The 16,767-nt window shown below is 38.9% G+C and overlaps 1 long non-coding RNA gene across 2 annotated transcripts in view; it reads right to left on the bottom strand.

The window, feature by feature from the left end:
• LOC105373576 (uncharacterized) overlaps positions 1-3,562 on the bottom strand; it is a 93,637-nt gene extending 90,075 nt beyond the window's left edge. For both annotated transcript variants that reach the window (XR_923239.2, XR_923240.1), the window contains exons 1-2: positions 3,419-3,562; positions 2,700-2,765 (exon numbers count right to left, since the gene is read on the bottom strand). This is a non-coding gene — a long non-coding RNA (uncharacterized LOC105373576). The remainder of the gene's footprint in view (positions 1-2,699; positions 2,766-3,418) is intronic.
• Positions 3,563-16,767: the final 13,205 nt, after the last annotated feature.

Here is a 16,767-nt window from a genome sequence, read left to right as displayed (position 1 = left end):
GAGATGACAACTTATATCATAAAAAAAGCAAAAAAATGTTTAAAACTATCTACATTTTGACTCCATCCCCCCCCAACATTTTGACTTTTTGTTGTCTCAATTTACATATTTTAATAATGTCTATCTCTGAACAGGTTTCTCTATTTTTGTTTTTGATATATTTGTCTTTTAGGCTTCATACTAGAGATGGTAGTGGATTGCATCTCACAAAATACAGCATCAGAGTATTATAAGGTGGTCTATTTAGTTAATTTTTTCTGTGGGTTTTATACCTCTAAATGTTATCTTTTTGCACATTAGTGTTTGTTTTTTTTTTGTCTTTCGGATTGAAGCACACTCTTTAGTATTTCTTGGAAGGTGGGTCTGCTGGTGATAAATTCTCTCAACTATTTGTCTGTGAAAGATTTTCTCCCTCCTTTATATTTGAAGACTGGCTTTGCTCAATACAGTATTTTTGAATGGTAGTGTTTTGTTTTGTTTTCTCTCTCAGTACTTTGAAAATGTTTTCCCATTCTCTGTATGGTTTCCACTGACATGTCTGTTGCCACATGAATTGGAGCTCTTTTATAGGTTATTTGCTTCTTTTATCTTGCTACCTTTGAGATCCTTTCTTTGTCCTTGACTTTGAAGAGTTTGATTATTAGTCCAAGAGATCTGCCTTGGAGTAGTCTTATGTAGGATGAATCTGTTTAGTATTCTCTGATCTTCTTGTATCTGGATATTTATATCATCCTCAAGTTTTGGAAAGGTTTTGTTATTATTTATTTGAATAAGCTTTCTTTTCCTTCCTCTTGCTAAATTCCCTCTTGAGTATCAATTATCCTTAGTTCTGACCTTTTTGAGGTATTTTTCTATATTCTATAGGCAATCTTTCTACTGTTCCCCTTTTTATTCTTTTGTCATTGTTTTCCTCTTTGTGCTTTCAGATATCCTAATTTTGAGCTCACTGATTCTTTCTTCTTAATTCATTTTGATATTGCAGGCTTTTAATATATTTGTCAGTTTAGCAATTGTATTCTTCTAAGAGTTCTAAGAATTCTGCTTGATATCTTAAAATTATTTTAATATCCTTGCTGAATTTCTCTGATAAATGCATGAATTGCTTTTCTGTGGTATCTTGGAGATCACTGAGTTTCCTTAAAATTGCTACTTTGAATATTTGATCATAGCGCTCACATATCACAATCTTATTAGGGTCAGTCACTGGCTCCTTGCTTTGTTAACTTGAGGAGGTCTTTTTGTCTGGTTTATTTTGGTTTTTACTTGGATATGTTTGCTTAGAGAGTCTTTGCAATTTACCAGTTGAGTTTCTTTCTTTTACTTCCTGCTGGGTCTCTGTCTCCTTTTTGACACTAGATGTATGTTTCACCCAGGTTTGCCTTGGCTCTAGTAATGGATCAGAGTACTGCCTGTTTCAAATGGTGGAAGTCCCTAGGGAGATATCCCAGTAGTGTGGGAAGGCTGGCTAATTGTTCATGCCCAGGGGAACAAAGGAATGTACCTTCTGTAGCACAGTGCTGCTGAAAAGCCTATCTGATTTGGTGTGTCCTTTTACCTATTTATAGAGCAAAGTTTCTAGGGCTGGGGATAGTAATCACATTCTCTGCCTGGCAGAAAAAGATTTCCTGCCAGGGAACTAAGATGGTTGGAAAGCTGGTTGTCACAAGAGTTTTACTTTTTGCAGTGTAGAAATTGTGAGTCAGGGGAAAATACTTGCACACTTGATGCCAGGCAGATTAGAGGCTTGATACCACAAATATGAAAATCCAATTATTTTACCATCTCTTTGGAGACTTCACCTCACTGTGGCTGTGGCAACTGTCTCATCCTCATATTTCAGATTTGGTATATTACTGGTGATAATATTAGTGCTGTGTATTTGTTTTTGATGATCTGTGGTGGGGAATAAAGCCAATTTGCATATATGCTGCTACTTTGGAACTTGAAAGTTCCAGTATCTTCATAAAATAAGATAATATAAATGTTTTAAGAAAATTCTCAGGTTACCTTTTAGATAACATTCAGAAGATATTTGGGATTTTAAGAAATAAATCAGTTTTATTTTTTGTACCATAGAAAATCATTCTCATTTTTTTCTATAGGCTCTGAGAAACATTTCATAAGAACAGTTAGTTTTGTTTTGAACAATGAGTTCATGAAACATGTTTTGTCATTTCAGCGGCTAAAACTTTATAGAACATTCCAATTGATGTCTTACAAAGAACATTTTATCTTATTTAACTCTCATAATGTGAGTTAAAGATTATAATTCTTGTTTTGATTATGTAGCAACTGAGGCTAAGAACAGTGGAAGTAATTCACTAAAGTCACACAGTGAGTAAAAGATATAATCAGGAGCCAAACCCAGTCTAATGTAACTCCCTAACCCCTTATTCTCCAATCTAGCAATAGGTGTGTCCAATTTTTCAGGACTATTTTTAATAGGTTGCTTATCGCTAATATGTTAGGTCTGGTGTGTTAATTATACAATTTTTCTACATATTTCAATAAAATATATGTACATCTATATATAAAAAGTGAAAAACTGTGAATTCAATTCTAGTTTCAAAACTTCTTACAGCTTTTTTGCATCCAGATAGGTAACTATTTTATATGCTAATCTAAAAGGAATATGAAACTCTAAATATTTGACTGAAAAGTCATGGTCACAAATATAAGAAGGCAATTTTGGTGCTTACCATGAATTCCCAAATCTCCTAGAGTTTTGAAAGCATCCTCAAGACATCTCACAAACCTCCCATTATCTGTTAAAGATGAAATCCAAAATTTGTATCTTTTGGTTATTTTTACAGTGACATTTTCTAAGCATATAAGCAGATGTGCAGGGACCTTAGGGGGAAATAAGCTCCACTCATAATTACCTCTCCTCTGCTAAGCCAGAGTACACCTGTGAAATCTTTGCAGAACCACGTTTATAAGCAGGAAATGTTCAAATTTAGAATGAATTCATTTATATTATTTTTATATGCATGTTTTCTTTTTTTGTGACTATCAGGTGACAAATTAAGCACTAAAATATTAAATATTTCTATATTAGTATAAATGTTGCTGAAATCGTATATGTAAATAAGATATTAGCCAATGCCAGCCCTCATTTCCCTACAGAGACACCAGCATAAAAATAACATATGAACCAAAATACCTTTTGAGAACACTGAAACCCAATTAATAAGTTGCAGTACCCAAAATTTAGTGCAAAGCTACAAACGGCCACATTGAAATAGGTAAAAAGAGACATTTTGGTTTACCTGCAATTACCCCACCCCCAAACTGGCATGGCTGAATTTCATCAGGAGAGAAGCCCAGCATACAGCTTCTTCACAGGGGAGGGAAAAGAAATTTGTTAAGGTGTATTCTGGCTTTTTGGAGGGCTGACCTCGTATCAGTTCTGCCTTACCTGACTCAGAAAATCGATGGAGTCTTGAGAGTTTGGGTGGCTGGGAACACTGAAAACAAGGGAGAGTGGGGGTGGCATAGTGCAGCACCAAAGAAATGGCAGTGCGTTCGGGACCATCCTGGCTAACACGGTGAAACCCCGTCTCGACTAAAAATACAAAAAATTAGCCGGGCGAGGTGGCGGGCGCCTGTAATCCCAGCTACTCGGGAGGCTGAGGCAGGAGAATGGCGTGAACCCGGGAGGCGGAGCTTGCAGTGAGCCGAGATCGCGCTACTGCACTCCAGCCTGGGCAACAGAGTGAGACTTCGTCTCAAAAATAAAAAAAAAAAGAAAGAAATTGCAGTGCTTTTATAAACAGGCTAGTATAACTCAGCACAATTGGGAGGGTGTGCCCAATTTGGGGTCTCTCCCTCAGGAGGGAGAGAAAATAATCAAATATGTGTCTGGCCTTCTGATTTTCCAAAAGGCTGTCTAAAGAACTGGTTTCTGTCTTGCCTGACATAGAGAACTGACAAGGAGCCAGGATACTTTGGATGCCCTGGACCACTGAGAATAAAAGAGTACAGGAAGACTTGTTGCTGCAGCACCACAGAACCTGCAGTACTGCGGGCAAACACCAGAAATAACCAGAGATTACCAGCTCCTGAAAAGAAAACCAGCAACTCCCTGTAATTGGGGTTACATGCACAGGCTTGGAGAAGTTACAACCCCCACGAAAAGGTTTTCTGGTCCCCAGAATCTCTAGCCAGATTGTCTGTTGAAGATATTACCAAGTATGAAGCCAGTCCATAAGAACTTGCAGAAGAATATATTTTTCTAATGCATAAGTCTAAGTGACCAAAAGTACAAGACAAATGAGACAAAACAACAACAATCAAACCAGAGAAACACAGCTTAGCAAAAAAAACAGCAACAGCCTAAGTCTCTGAGAACTAAACCCCCAAAAATGGAGATCTCTGAATTACCTGGCAAATAATTCAAAATATTTATCATTTTAAAAAATCCATAATCTATAAGAGAATACAGATGAGCAATTAAAATCAGGAAAATAATTTAAAAACAAAATAAGATCATTGACAAAGAAATAGAATATATGCAAAAGAAACAAATTCTGAAGTTGAAGAATACAATAAGTGAATTGAAAACTTTACTAGAAGGATTCAAAAGCAGCTTGGCAGAAATCAGTGAACTTGAAGATAATTCATCTAAAATTATTAAGTCAGAGAATAAAAACAATAAAGTAAAGAAAGCCTAAAGAATTTTTGACTGTCAAGCCAACCAATATATCCATTATGAAAATTTCAGAAGAAAAGTGAAAAGAACCGAATGGTTATTTGAAGAAATAATGATCAGAAAATTCAGAAAGAAATGTGCATTCAAATTCAAAATTCTTAAAGGATTATAAATAGAATAAATAGAGATTCATACCTAGAAACATTACAATCAAATTCACAAAAGTCAAAAGACAAATAGATTTGAAAGTAGCAAGAGAAAAGTGACTCATAACGTAAAAGAGAGCTTCTATATAAGTATCAGCAGGTATCTCAGCAGAATAATTTCAGGCTAGAGGAAATGAAATATTCAAAATGCTGAAAGAAAAAATAAATTTTCTACTGAAAATAGTATATCCAGCAGAACTGTTATTCAGAAAAAAGGGGAAAATGAATACTTTCTTAGGTAAACAAAACCTGAGAGATTTCATCACCACTGCACTTTTATTATAAAAAATGCTAATGGCAGTCTTTACAATTTGAAGCAAAGGGGAACTAGACAGCAACATAAAATCTCATGAAAATATAAAGCTCACTACAGGTAAACATGTAGAGAAATACAGAATACTGTATTATTGCCATAGTGGTGCATAAAACATCTTTAATTTTTATATAGAATTTGAAAGACAAAGGCATAAAAACAACTTACTCTAAATATGTTATTAGAAGTACTACATATATAGGTATAATTTATGGTATCAATAAAATAAAATGGGAATGAAGATACATGAAAAGGAATATTTTTTGTGTATGATTGAAGATTTTTTTCTGCTCAAAATAGTTATATCTTTAAGATGTTTTATGTAATCTCCATGGTAGACCCAAAGACAATATCTATAGATGATACACAAAAAGAAATGATAAATCAAAACATGACAACACAAAAAAATCAATATAGCACAAAGAAAGGCAGCTGGAGAACCAAATAAGAGCAAAAGGAAAAAATGTCAAAAAAATGCAGTAGTAAGTTATTTCTTAAAATTAGTAATTACTTGGAATGTATATCAATTAAACTCTTCCATCAAAAGAAACAGAGTGGCTGAATGAATTTTAAAAGAAGATGCATTCTTTCTATAAGAGACTCATCTTAAACATAATAACACATGGAGACTGAAAGTGAAAGAATGGGGGAAAATTTCCTGCAAATCATAACCAAAAGAGAGCAGGGATGGTTATTCTTATAATATAAAAATAAACTTCAGTTAAAAAACAATCACAAGGGACAAAGAGTGACCTTTTATAATCAGAAAAGAATAAATACACCAGGAAATATAACAGTTATAAATGTATCTACACCTACAATCCAAGCAACTGAAATATAAGAAGCATATATTGACAGAATATAGAAATGGAAGAGATAGTAACATAGTAATAGTAGGATAATTCAGTATCTCACTTTCAATAATGGCTAGAACAACCAGATAGAAGACCAATAAAGAAATGGAAGATGGGAACAATATAGACAAAATGGAACCAACAGACATATACAAAGCCCTCCACCCAACAGTATCAGAATATACATTCTTCTCAAGTATACATGAAACATTCTCAGAAATGGACCATGTCAGACCACCAAACACATCTGTTATTAACAAATTTAAGAATTTTGAGTAAGTATCTAATCTGACCCCAGTGGAACCAAACTAGAATTCAATTGCAGTAGGAAAAGTAGAAATTTACAGGTATTTGAAAGTTAAACAATGCCCTCTTAAATAACCAATGAATCAAAGAAAAAAAAACAACACAAGTAAATTAGAAAATATCTTCAGAGAAATAAAAACAAAAACACAATAAACCAAAACTTATGAGTTTAAGAAATAAGTAGTACTAAGAAGGGAAGTGTGTTATAGTAAATGGTTACATTTCAAAAGAACAATTTCAAATCCAGAACCTACTTCACACCTCAATAAACTATAAAACATCAATCTATACCCATAGTTAGAAGAAGAAGGGAAACAAATATGAGAGTAGACATAAATGAAAGAATGGAACAAAATGAAAGTTTTTTAAATTCAATTTTTATTTTAGATTCTGGGGTACATGTGCAGGTTTGTTACATGGGTGTATTATGCAATGCTGAGGTGTGGGAAATGAATGATTCTGCCACCCAGATAGTGAGCATAGTAACAGTTATACCAGCCTTGTCCCCCTTCCTCCATCCTGACTTTAGTGGTTTCCAGTGTCTGTTGTTGTCATCTTATGTCTATGAGTGCCCAATCTTTAGCTCCCACTTATAAGTGAGAACATGTGGTATTTGGTTTTCTGTTGCTTAATTCATTCATTTAGAATAATGGCCTCCGGTTGCATCTATATTGCTGTAAGCAACATAATTTTGTTCTTTTTAATGGTTTCCCAGTATTTCATGGTGTATATGTGCCACATTTTCTTTATTCAATCCACCATTGATGGGCAGCTAGGTTGATTCCATGTCTTTGCTATTGTGAATAGTGCTGTGATGAACATGCGAGTGCAGTGCAGTGTCTCTTTGGTAGAATGAATTATTTTCTTTTGGATATATATCTAGTAATTGGATTGCTGGGTCAAATGGTAGTTCGATTTTAAGTTGTTTGAGAAATTCCCAAACTAGTTTCTATAATGGCTGAACTATTTGTATTGTAACCAGCAGTGCATAAGCATTCCCTTTTATCTGCAATTCCATCAACATCTGTTTTCTTTTTTGTTTTTTTATTTGTTTGTTTGTTTGTTTAGTTTTTAATAATAGCCGTTCTGACTGATGTGAGGTGGTATCTGATTGTGGTTTGGCATTGCCTTTCTCTGATGATTTGTGATGTAGAGGATATTTTCATGTTTGTCAGCCACTTGTGTGTCTTCTTTTGAGAAGTATCTGTTATGCCTTTTGTCTATTTTTATTGGGGATATTCGTTTTAATTTTTGCTTGTTGATTTGAATTTCTTATAGATTATAGATATAGACCTTTGTTGGATTCTTAGTTTGCAAATGTTTTCTCCCATTCTCTAAGAGGCCTGTTTACTCTGTTGGTAGTTTTTTTTGGCTGCACAGAAGCTCTTTAGTTTAATTAGATCCCCCTTGTCAATTTTTGTTTTTGTTGCAATAGTTTTTGAAGACTTAGTTATTAATTCTTTTTCAAGACTTATGTCCACAGTGGTGTCTCCTACATTTTCTTCTAGGATTCTTATAGATTGAGGTCTTACATTTAAATCTTTAATCCATCTTTATTTAATTTTTGTATATGGTGAAAGGTAGACATCCAGTGTCATACTTTTGCATATATCTAGCCTGCCATCCCAGAGCAACGTATTGGATAGGCAGTCTTTTCTCCATTGCTTTTTTTGTTGTTGTTGAGTTTAGCTCAAAGGCTAAAACTCAGATGGCTGTAGATGTGCACCTTTTTTTCTGGGTTCTTTATTCTGTTCTGTTAGTTTATGTGTCTGTTTATATACCAGTACTATACTGTTTCGGTTACCATAGACTTACAGTGTAGTTTGAAGTTGGGTAATGTGATGCCTCTGGCTTTCTTCTCTTTGCTTAGGATTCCTCTTGTCATTTGGGCTTTTTATAGTCCCATATTAATTTTAGAATTTTTTTTGTAATTCTATTAAAAAATAAAATTGATAGTTTGATAGAAACAGTGCTGAATTTGTAGATTGCTTTGGGCAGTGTGGCAATTTTCAAGATATTAGTTTTTCCAATTGATGAACGTGGAAAATTTTTCCATTTGTTTCTGTAATCTGTGATGTCTTTTAGCAGTGTTTTAGAGTTCTCCTTGCAGAGATCTTTCACCTCCTTGGTTAGGTGTATTTCTAGGTATTTTGCTTTTTTACGGATTTTGTATATGGGATTGCATTCTTGATTTTGTGTCCAGAGTTGGTTCCTGCCAGTGGGTTTGTGGTCTCGCTGACTTCAAGAATGAAGCTGCAGACCTTCATGGTGAGTGTTACAGCTCTTAAAGATGGCACGGACCCAATGAGTGAGTGGTAGCAAGGTTTATTGTGAAGAGCAAAAGGACAAAGCTTCCACAGCATGGAAGGGGACCCAAGCAGGTTGTCGCTGCTGGCTGGGGTGGCCAGCTTTTATTCCCTTACTGTCCCCTCTTATGTTCTGTTTCTGTCATATCAGAGTGCCCTTTTTTCAATCCTCCCTGCGATTGCCTACTTTTAGAATCCTGCTGATTGGTGCATTTTAGAGAACACTGATTGGTGTATTTTACAGAGTGCTGATTGGTGTGTTTTACAGAGTGCTGATTTGTGTGTTTTGTATGTCCTCTTGTAAGACAGGAAAGTTCCCCATGTCCCCACTCGACCCAGGAAGTCCAGCTGGCCTCACCTCTCAATCCACCGCCTAAACAGGACACCCCAATTGCTGTTGGGAACTGGGCGATGACCGCTGTAGCTACTTCCTATTGTGGGATCTGGCCAGCAGCCCGCAACGCAATGGGGCTCTCTCTTTGCTCCTAGGCAGATCGGCAGGTTGAGAAATAATAGATGCACACAAGATAGTGAAAGCTGGGTCCAGGGGGGTCACTGCCTTCTGGTCCCATGGTGCCAACAATGCACTGGATATACCAGTATTTATTATTAAATTTAGTGAGGGCAGGGGTAGGTTAGTGAGGGATTTAGGGTCATTTGATTATGAGGTGCGATAGTCACATGGGGATGAAGTAATTCTTTAACATAACATTTGTATGTAGAAGTACAGTACATTTGTATGTAGAAGTACAGTATACAGAGATAAAAATTTACAATATAGTGTGTGCGTCAGTAATTTCTAACAGAGCCTTAGAACAGAAACACAGTCTTTCCATAACCTATGATTAGCAAGATATTAATCAGCAGTAACAATTGCAACAAAAGCTGGTTACAAACAATCAATGGCAACAGGACATGAAGCTAGACAACTGGTTAGACCAGAAATTCTCAGAAGGGAGTATGCTTTAACCCTAAAGAGGCCTAGAAGAGCCGTGGCAAGATGAGGGCATTTATAGCCCTATCTTATCCATGTGGCCAGGCGCCCCCCATGCATCCATTTATAGGCTTTCCACAAGGGTCGCATTCCATTCCCAGAGCTATGAACATCTGCTTTTCTGGGATAGGAATCTTGGTGATGTGAAACATCCCTGACTGCATGTCCATTCATAGGCTCTCTGCAGGGGGAAGCACATCACGTGCTGTTGGCTCATTCTGGCAGTCCAACCTGGCATTGTCTTTACACAATCCTGCATGCAATTTTGTATTTACAATAATCAGGAGCATTTCATCTTTTATTCCATAGCAATAGTTTCAGGGGGTCTCCCTACAACTTCCTGCTGGATAGGGGTGAAGAAGTGGCCCTGCAGTTGTAGTGTTCTCCAGGGGGGAACTCTTTAGGCCAAAGGGCCAGTAGGTCAGTCCAGGGTTCCTAGGCAGAAGTTGTGAGTTGAGCTCATATGGGGTTCCATTTGTAAGACCATCTGTAGCTTGATGGCCTCAATCCTGGAGGAAACAATTTTAAGAAGAAGTTTAAAAATACAGGGCCTGAAGGTGAGTAGTAGCAAGATGGCTGTCGTGGGACCTAGAAAGGAGAGAAGCCATGTCACCCAACTCCAGAGGTTGGTATAAGAGTTTGAAAGGCATTGCCTGAGTTCAGAAGCCTTTTCCTGTAAACACCAGGTGACGTCTTGTGCTACCCCTGACTGGTTAGTGTAAAAACAACACTGTTCCCCTAAGAAGGTGCAAAGTCCTCCTCTCTCAGCAGTGAGGAGGTCTAGGCTTCAGCGGTTTTGGAAAGTCACTGCTGTCAAAGAGTCTATTTGGGATTGTAGAGTAGATGGATTTTGTTATTTCTTGTAAACTGAGAAATCCGTTGAGAGTGTGTGGTGGTAGGATAATGAAGTAGATAAACTGACTATTCTGTTTCCTGTAGCAGTGGCCATTCCTAACCCTATAAGTAGGGGTATTAGTTGTATGGCCCTGTGCTGACGGACTTGAGCTTTGAGGGGGCACTGATAGGGTCTGATTTCCTGGGGAAATGTCAGTATTGGGACTTAGGAAGACTAAGGTGCAGGTGTCTATCCAGTTGGTGGAGAGACAGATATAGGTTGAAGTTCCACATAAGAAGAATATGCCTTTGCTGGGTAAGCAGAACTTGTCGTGTATGTTAAAAAAAGTGTGTGAGTTTGCTGTTTTCATTTTCCCATACTCCTAGAGTACTTGCCAAGGTAGCTCTAGTGAGTGGCTGGAAAGGGGTGTTGGGAGCAAACTGAGTGGCTCCCTGTATTCTATTTTCCCATTGGAGAAAAAAACCATTAATCAGTGTCTGATAGAGAGATACAAAACCAACAGTCGTTTGCCAGGGAAGGATTGGACTGGTTTAACAGAGAGTGGGTTAAGTTGAGAGTCTTGTAGAGCTAATAAGGAGCTAGTGGAAGGGGAGGAACGACTATGTGGGGTATCCAAGGAAGCAGGAGGGATGGATAGGCAAAGAGTAAGTAGGAAGGTAAAGAGCATGCCCTGGAACATGAGATCATTTTATCCAGTCTGAGTTAAAGGTAGGAGTAAATTGCTGTCAGAAAGAAGGATGATAGAAAAAAGGTTGATGTGATTAGGATTTTTGTCCCAGCAGGAGCTACAGTATATAGTCCTACTGCAAAAAGTCTGGTTAGTATACTGCTTAATAACATGATGAAACAGTAAAAGGATCCCATTAAAGGGGCAAGAAGAGGTGTTAAATATTATGTAGGTTTTCGCTTATCTTTTTTAGGTAGGAAGGGCTTTTTTCCTCAGGATCAGCTGTAGGAGCCTTTTTAGTCTGGGATGTTTCCTTCCAAAATAGGAGACACAAGTCCTCCAATGGTTTACAGTTGTATCGAGGCTGGTCTGGCTGATCTTGGGACTCCTGAGCTGGTGGTCCTGCAGGTTCTTCAGGGGGTGTCCAAAGCTTAACTTAGGTGTGGTAAATCCAAGATTCCACTCCTGCCACCTTAACTGCAGTTGGGGTAAAGAGGATTACCAAGTATGGTCCTTCCCACAAGGAATCCGTAGATGGGGAGGTAGAGGAGAGGGACTTGACCAACACTAGATATCCAGGTTGGAACAACTCTGTTCCCTTATCTCTGTGACATCCTTTGGGTAGGTTTTTAAGGTTTTGTTGATATTTTGCCAAGGAAGTTATATCCTTGACCAAGTTGGCCGTTTCCTGATCAAGTAGGCGGTCATTTGTGAGAAAAGGTCATCCATACAGCATTTCATATGGACTGAACCCCATTTTGTGAGGAGAATTTTGGATTCTCAACAAGGCCATGGACAAGAGAGTAGGCCATGGGAGATGAATTCCTTGTGTTAGTTTCCTTTAGTACCTCTTGAGTGTTTCATTTGCCTTCTCAACCTTCCCTGAGGGGATTGTGGCCTCCAGGCTCAGTGAAGGTGACATTGTTTCCCTAACACCTTGGAAATTCCCTGAGTTACCTTGGCTTTTGAAGTCAGACCATTGTCATTTTGTAAGCTTTGGGGAAGCCCACATCTAGGAATTATTTCGTGAATTAGGACTTTAGCCACTTCCTGAGACTTCTCTGTCTTGCAGGGGAAGGCTTCTATCCACTTTGTAAAGGTATCAACACAGACCAACAGGTATTGAAATTCCCTTGACTTTGGCATACGGATGAAGTCTAACTGCCAGTCCTCTCCAGGATAGTGCCCTATTCTTTGTTCCTCCAGAAGGGCTTTATGATGGACCAAGGGATTATTCCTTTGGCACACCTCACAGGCTTTGACTACTTGTCAGATGTCCGGAGGAGATTTGGCCCTGTAAATAGGGATTTGGCCATTTGATGAGTGCTCTCAATACCCATATGAAAAGTTTGATGGGGGGTCTTAAGTATTTTTCACTGACTGGCTTCCGGTATGAGTACCCTTCCCTCTTCTGTTGTTAACTACCCGGAGGGGAGAAAACTATGCCCCCATGAAAGTCCCCATTCTGTTTCAGTCGGGGAATACTGGGGCTTAATCTCTCTGAGAGGGTTGTTCCATACCAAGGATCCTTCTATAGGTATTTCTAATGGGAGGTTCCATCTGGCAGCAATTTTGGCCTCAGGGTCTGCATGACGGTTTCCTAGTGCCTTTTCTCCTTCACCTTTTTGATGGCTTTGGCAGTGTAAGACTGTCACCTCCTTGGGTTTTTGCACTGCGTGCAATAACTCCATGATTTCCTTGTGGCATTTAATGGGGGTTCCCCAAGAAGTTAGGAATTCCCTTTCTTTTCATATTGCGGCATGGGCATGCAGGATTAAATAAGCATACCTACTGTTTGTATACACATTTATTCTTTTTTCCTTTCCCAGTTCTAAGACTTGGGTAACTGCCACTAGTTCTGCTAATTGGGCACTGGTCCCCAGGGGAAGAGGCTTACTTTCAAGTACTGTTACATCACTAACTATGGCATAACCTGCCCTTCGTATCCCATTCTCAACAAATGTACTTCCATCAGTATATAGCTTAAGGTCATGATTAGCTAAGGGGACTTCTGAGAGATCCTCTCAGGTGGCATAAGTCTGGGCGACAATTTGTTGGCAGTCATGCTTGATTGGTTTCCCATCCCCCTGGGAGAAAAGTAGCAGGGTTGAGGGCTGCACACGTGCATATTTGAAGCACTGGTCCCTCAAGGGGTAGCATCTGGTATCTAAGCAAGCAGTTGTCTGACAGCCATAAATTTCCTTTGGCACCTAGTATGCCATTTACATCATGACTAGTCCAGAAGGTGAGATCCTTTCCTTGTATTATTTTGATAGTCTCTGATACCAAGATGGGCACCGCCACAACTACCAGTAAACAGTGAGGCCAGGCTTTTGCTGCTACATCAATTTCCTTACTTAGGTATGCCACTGGTTGTGGGGTTGTCCCACAAGTTTGAATAAGGACTCCAAGAGCTATTCCTATTCTCTCTGTGATGTATAAAGAGAAATTTTTTCCTGTGGGAAGGCTTAAAGCTGGAGCTTGTACTAGGGCCTGCTTTAAGATTTTGAAGGCTGTTTCCCTTCAAAATCTGGTTCCCATTCAACTAGATGAGTATTTGCCCTCTGGGTCTCCTTGATTAGAGTATAGAGTGGCCTGGCCATCTCACTGGATCAGGTGATCCATCATTGGCAAAAGCCGGTGATCCCAAGGAAGCCCCACAACTGTTTTAATGTCTTAGGGTGAGGACAGGCCAATATATGTTGTATTCATTCTTTGCTGAGGGTTCTGGTTCCTCTAGCTAAGATTAGGCCTAGATATTTGACTTGTTGTAGGCCAATCTGGGCCTTCGATTTAGATGCCTTGTACCCTTGATTAGCTAGGAAGTTCAAGAGATCTACAGTAGCCTGCTGGTATGAGGCTTCTGAACTGGCAGCCAAAAGTAAATCATCCACATTTTGAAGGACCAGAGTGCCTGGACTTGAGAAGTGGCCTAGATCTTGGGCCAGTGCCTGACCAAACAGATGAGGGCTATCCCTAAATCTTTGAGGCAAGACTGTCCATGTAAGTTGGGACACGTAGTCTGTGGGATCCTGAAAGGTAAAGAGAAACTGGGAGTCAGAGTGCAGGGAAGTGCAGAAGAAGGCATCCTTGAGGTCCAGAACAGTGAACCACTCTGCTTCCTCTGGTATTTGAGAGAGTAGGGTATACAAGTTGGGTACAGCTATATATATAGAGGTATTATTCCCTCATTGATGAGTCTAAGATCTTGCACTAGTCTCCACTGACCATTTGGTTTTTGTACTCCTAAAACTGGGGTATTGCAGGAACTGCTGCATTTTCTTACTAAGCCTTGAACTTTTAAATGTCTAACAGTATCATGTAATCCTTTATGAGCTTCAGGCCTTAAGGGATATTGCCTTTGAAAAAGAAAAGTGGTGGGGTCTTTTTAGCCTGATTTGGACTGGGTGGGCATTTTTTGCCCTTCCAATTATCCTTCCAATGCCCAGACTTCAGGGATGATTCCCTCCTCAAGTAGAGGACAACAAATGGGTAACTTGTTCCCCATATTCATGTAGATGATAGCTCCAGCTTTGGCTAATAGATCCCTCCCCAATAAGTGTGTGGGACTTTCAGGCATAACAAGAAATGCATGTGAAAAGAGCAAAGTCTCCCAATTACAACTGAGGAGGTGGGAGAAATACCTAGTTGCAGGCTGTCCCAGGATTCCTCAGATGGTAACAGACTTTGAAGACAGCCACCTAGGGCAGGAAATTAACATTGAGAATGCCACGCCGGTGTCCAGGAAGAAGTCAATTTCCTGGCCCTCAATGGTTAAACTTACCCGGGCCTCAGTGAGGGTGATGACATGAGCTGATGCTTGCCCTGGGCATCCTCAGTCCTGTTGTTGGATCACTTGGTTGGGGGCTTCTGGCCCAGAGAACCTTTGTCCTCTGGGGCAGTGGGCCTTCCAGTGATTGCCTTGGCATAATGGACATGAGCAAGGGGGCGGCTTGTTTCTCGTTGGACAATCTTTTTTAAGATGTCCTTGCAGACCACACTGATAACAAGCCCTACTGGGTGATTGGCCTGCTCCATTTTCTATCCTCTCCAAACCACCAAGGTTTGTTTGTCTGAGGGCTATGACTAAGGCTGTGGCCTTTCTCTTTTCTCGCTTTTCCTTTTTGGCCTGTTCCTCTTGGTAGGCTCATCTAACAATAGCATAACATCTCTCCAAGTGAGGTTGAAGGTTTGCCCTAGACCCTGTAGAACATCTATATACCTATTAGGATCATCTGAAAACTTCCCCAGGTCTACCTTGATCTGCTTTAAATTAGACAGAGAGAAGAGGACATGTACACAGATTGGACCAAATTCTCCTCCCCCCACAGCTTGAGGGGGACATAACTGATGGCCCGGTGGGATTTTTGGTCCCTTGGAGATTTCTTTGCTCATTTCTTTCATATCAGAGTGCCCTTTTTTCAGTCCTCCCGTGATTGGCTACTTTAGAATCCTGCTGATTGGTGTGTTTTACAGAGCGCTGATTGGTACGTTTTACAATCCTATTCCAAGACAGGAAAGTTCCCCAGGTCCCCACTTGACCCAGGAAGTCCAGCTGGCCTCACCTCTCAATTTGCCTCAGAGTTTCAACATTATTAGTGTATAGAAATGCTGCTGAATCTAGTACATTCATTTTGTACCCTGATTCTTTACTGAAATCATTTTCAAATTGCAGGAGTCATTTGATGGAGTGTTTAGGATTTTCTAGGGAATCATATCATCTATGAAGAGAGATATTTTGATTTCTTCTTTTTCTATTTGGATGCCTTTTATTTTCTTCACTGATTGTTCTGGCAAAGACTTCCTGTAGTATGTTTTATAGGAGTGATGAGAGTGGGCATCCTTGTCTTTCCCAGTTCTCAAGGGGAATGTTTCCAGCTTTTGTCCATTTAGTATGATGTTGGATGTGGATTCATCGTACATAGCTCTTATTTTTTGGAGGTGTGTTGCTTCAGTGTCTATTTTATTGGTCATTTGTATCATGTAAGGATGTTGGGTTTTATCAAAGGCTTTTTCTGCATCTGCTGAAATGATCCTATGGTTTTAATTTTTAATTCCTTTTATAGGATGAATCACATTTATTGATTAGTATATGTTGAACCAATTTTGTATTCCAGGAATGAGCCTACTTGATCCTGGCGAATTAACTTTTTGATGTGCTACTAGATTCAGTTGGCTGGTATTTTGTTTAGGAATTTTGTGTACATGTTCATCAGGGACATTGGCTTGGCCTATAGTTTTCTCTTTTCATTGTATTTTTGTCATTTGTGTTGATGTTGACTTCACAGAATGAGTTAAGGAGGCATCCCTCCTTCTTGAATTTTTCAAATAGTTTCAGTTTAATTGGTACCAGCTCTCCAGCTGAATTGGAAGAATTTGGCTAGGAATCCATCTAGTCTGGGTCTTTTTTGTGTTTGTTAGTAGGTTTTTTATTACTGATTCAATTTCAGGACTGAATATTGATTCCTGAAATTGGTTCCAATTTCTTCCTACTTCAATATTGGCAGTTTATGTGTTACTAGAATTTTTCTATTTCCTCTACATTTTCTAGTTTGTGTGCATAGAAGTATTCATATTTAGCTCTGAATTTTTTTTTTTGTATTTCTGTAGTATT

The sequence above is a fragment of the Homo sapiens genome, chromosome 2 (genome assembly GCF_000001405.40).
Source record: "Homo sapiens chromosome 2, GRCh38.p14 Primary Assembly".
In the NCBI taxonomy this organism is placed as follows: Eukaryota; Metazoa; Chordata; class Mammalia; order Primates; family Hominidae; genus Homo; species Homo sapiens.
The sequence above is the reverse complement of the archived record's forward strand: the minus strand, read 5'-3'. Positions and strand labels throughout refer to the sequence as shown.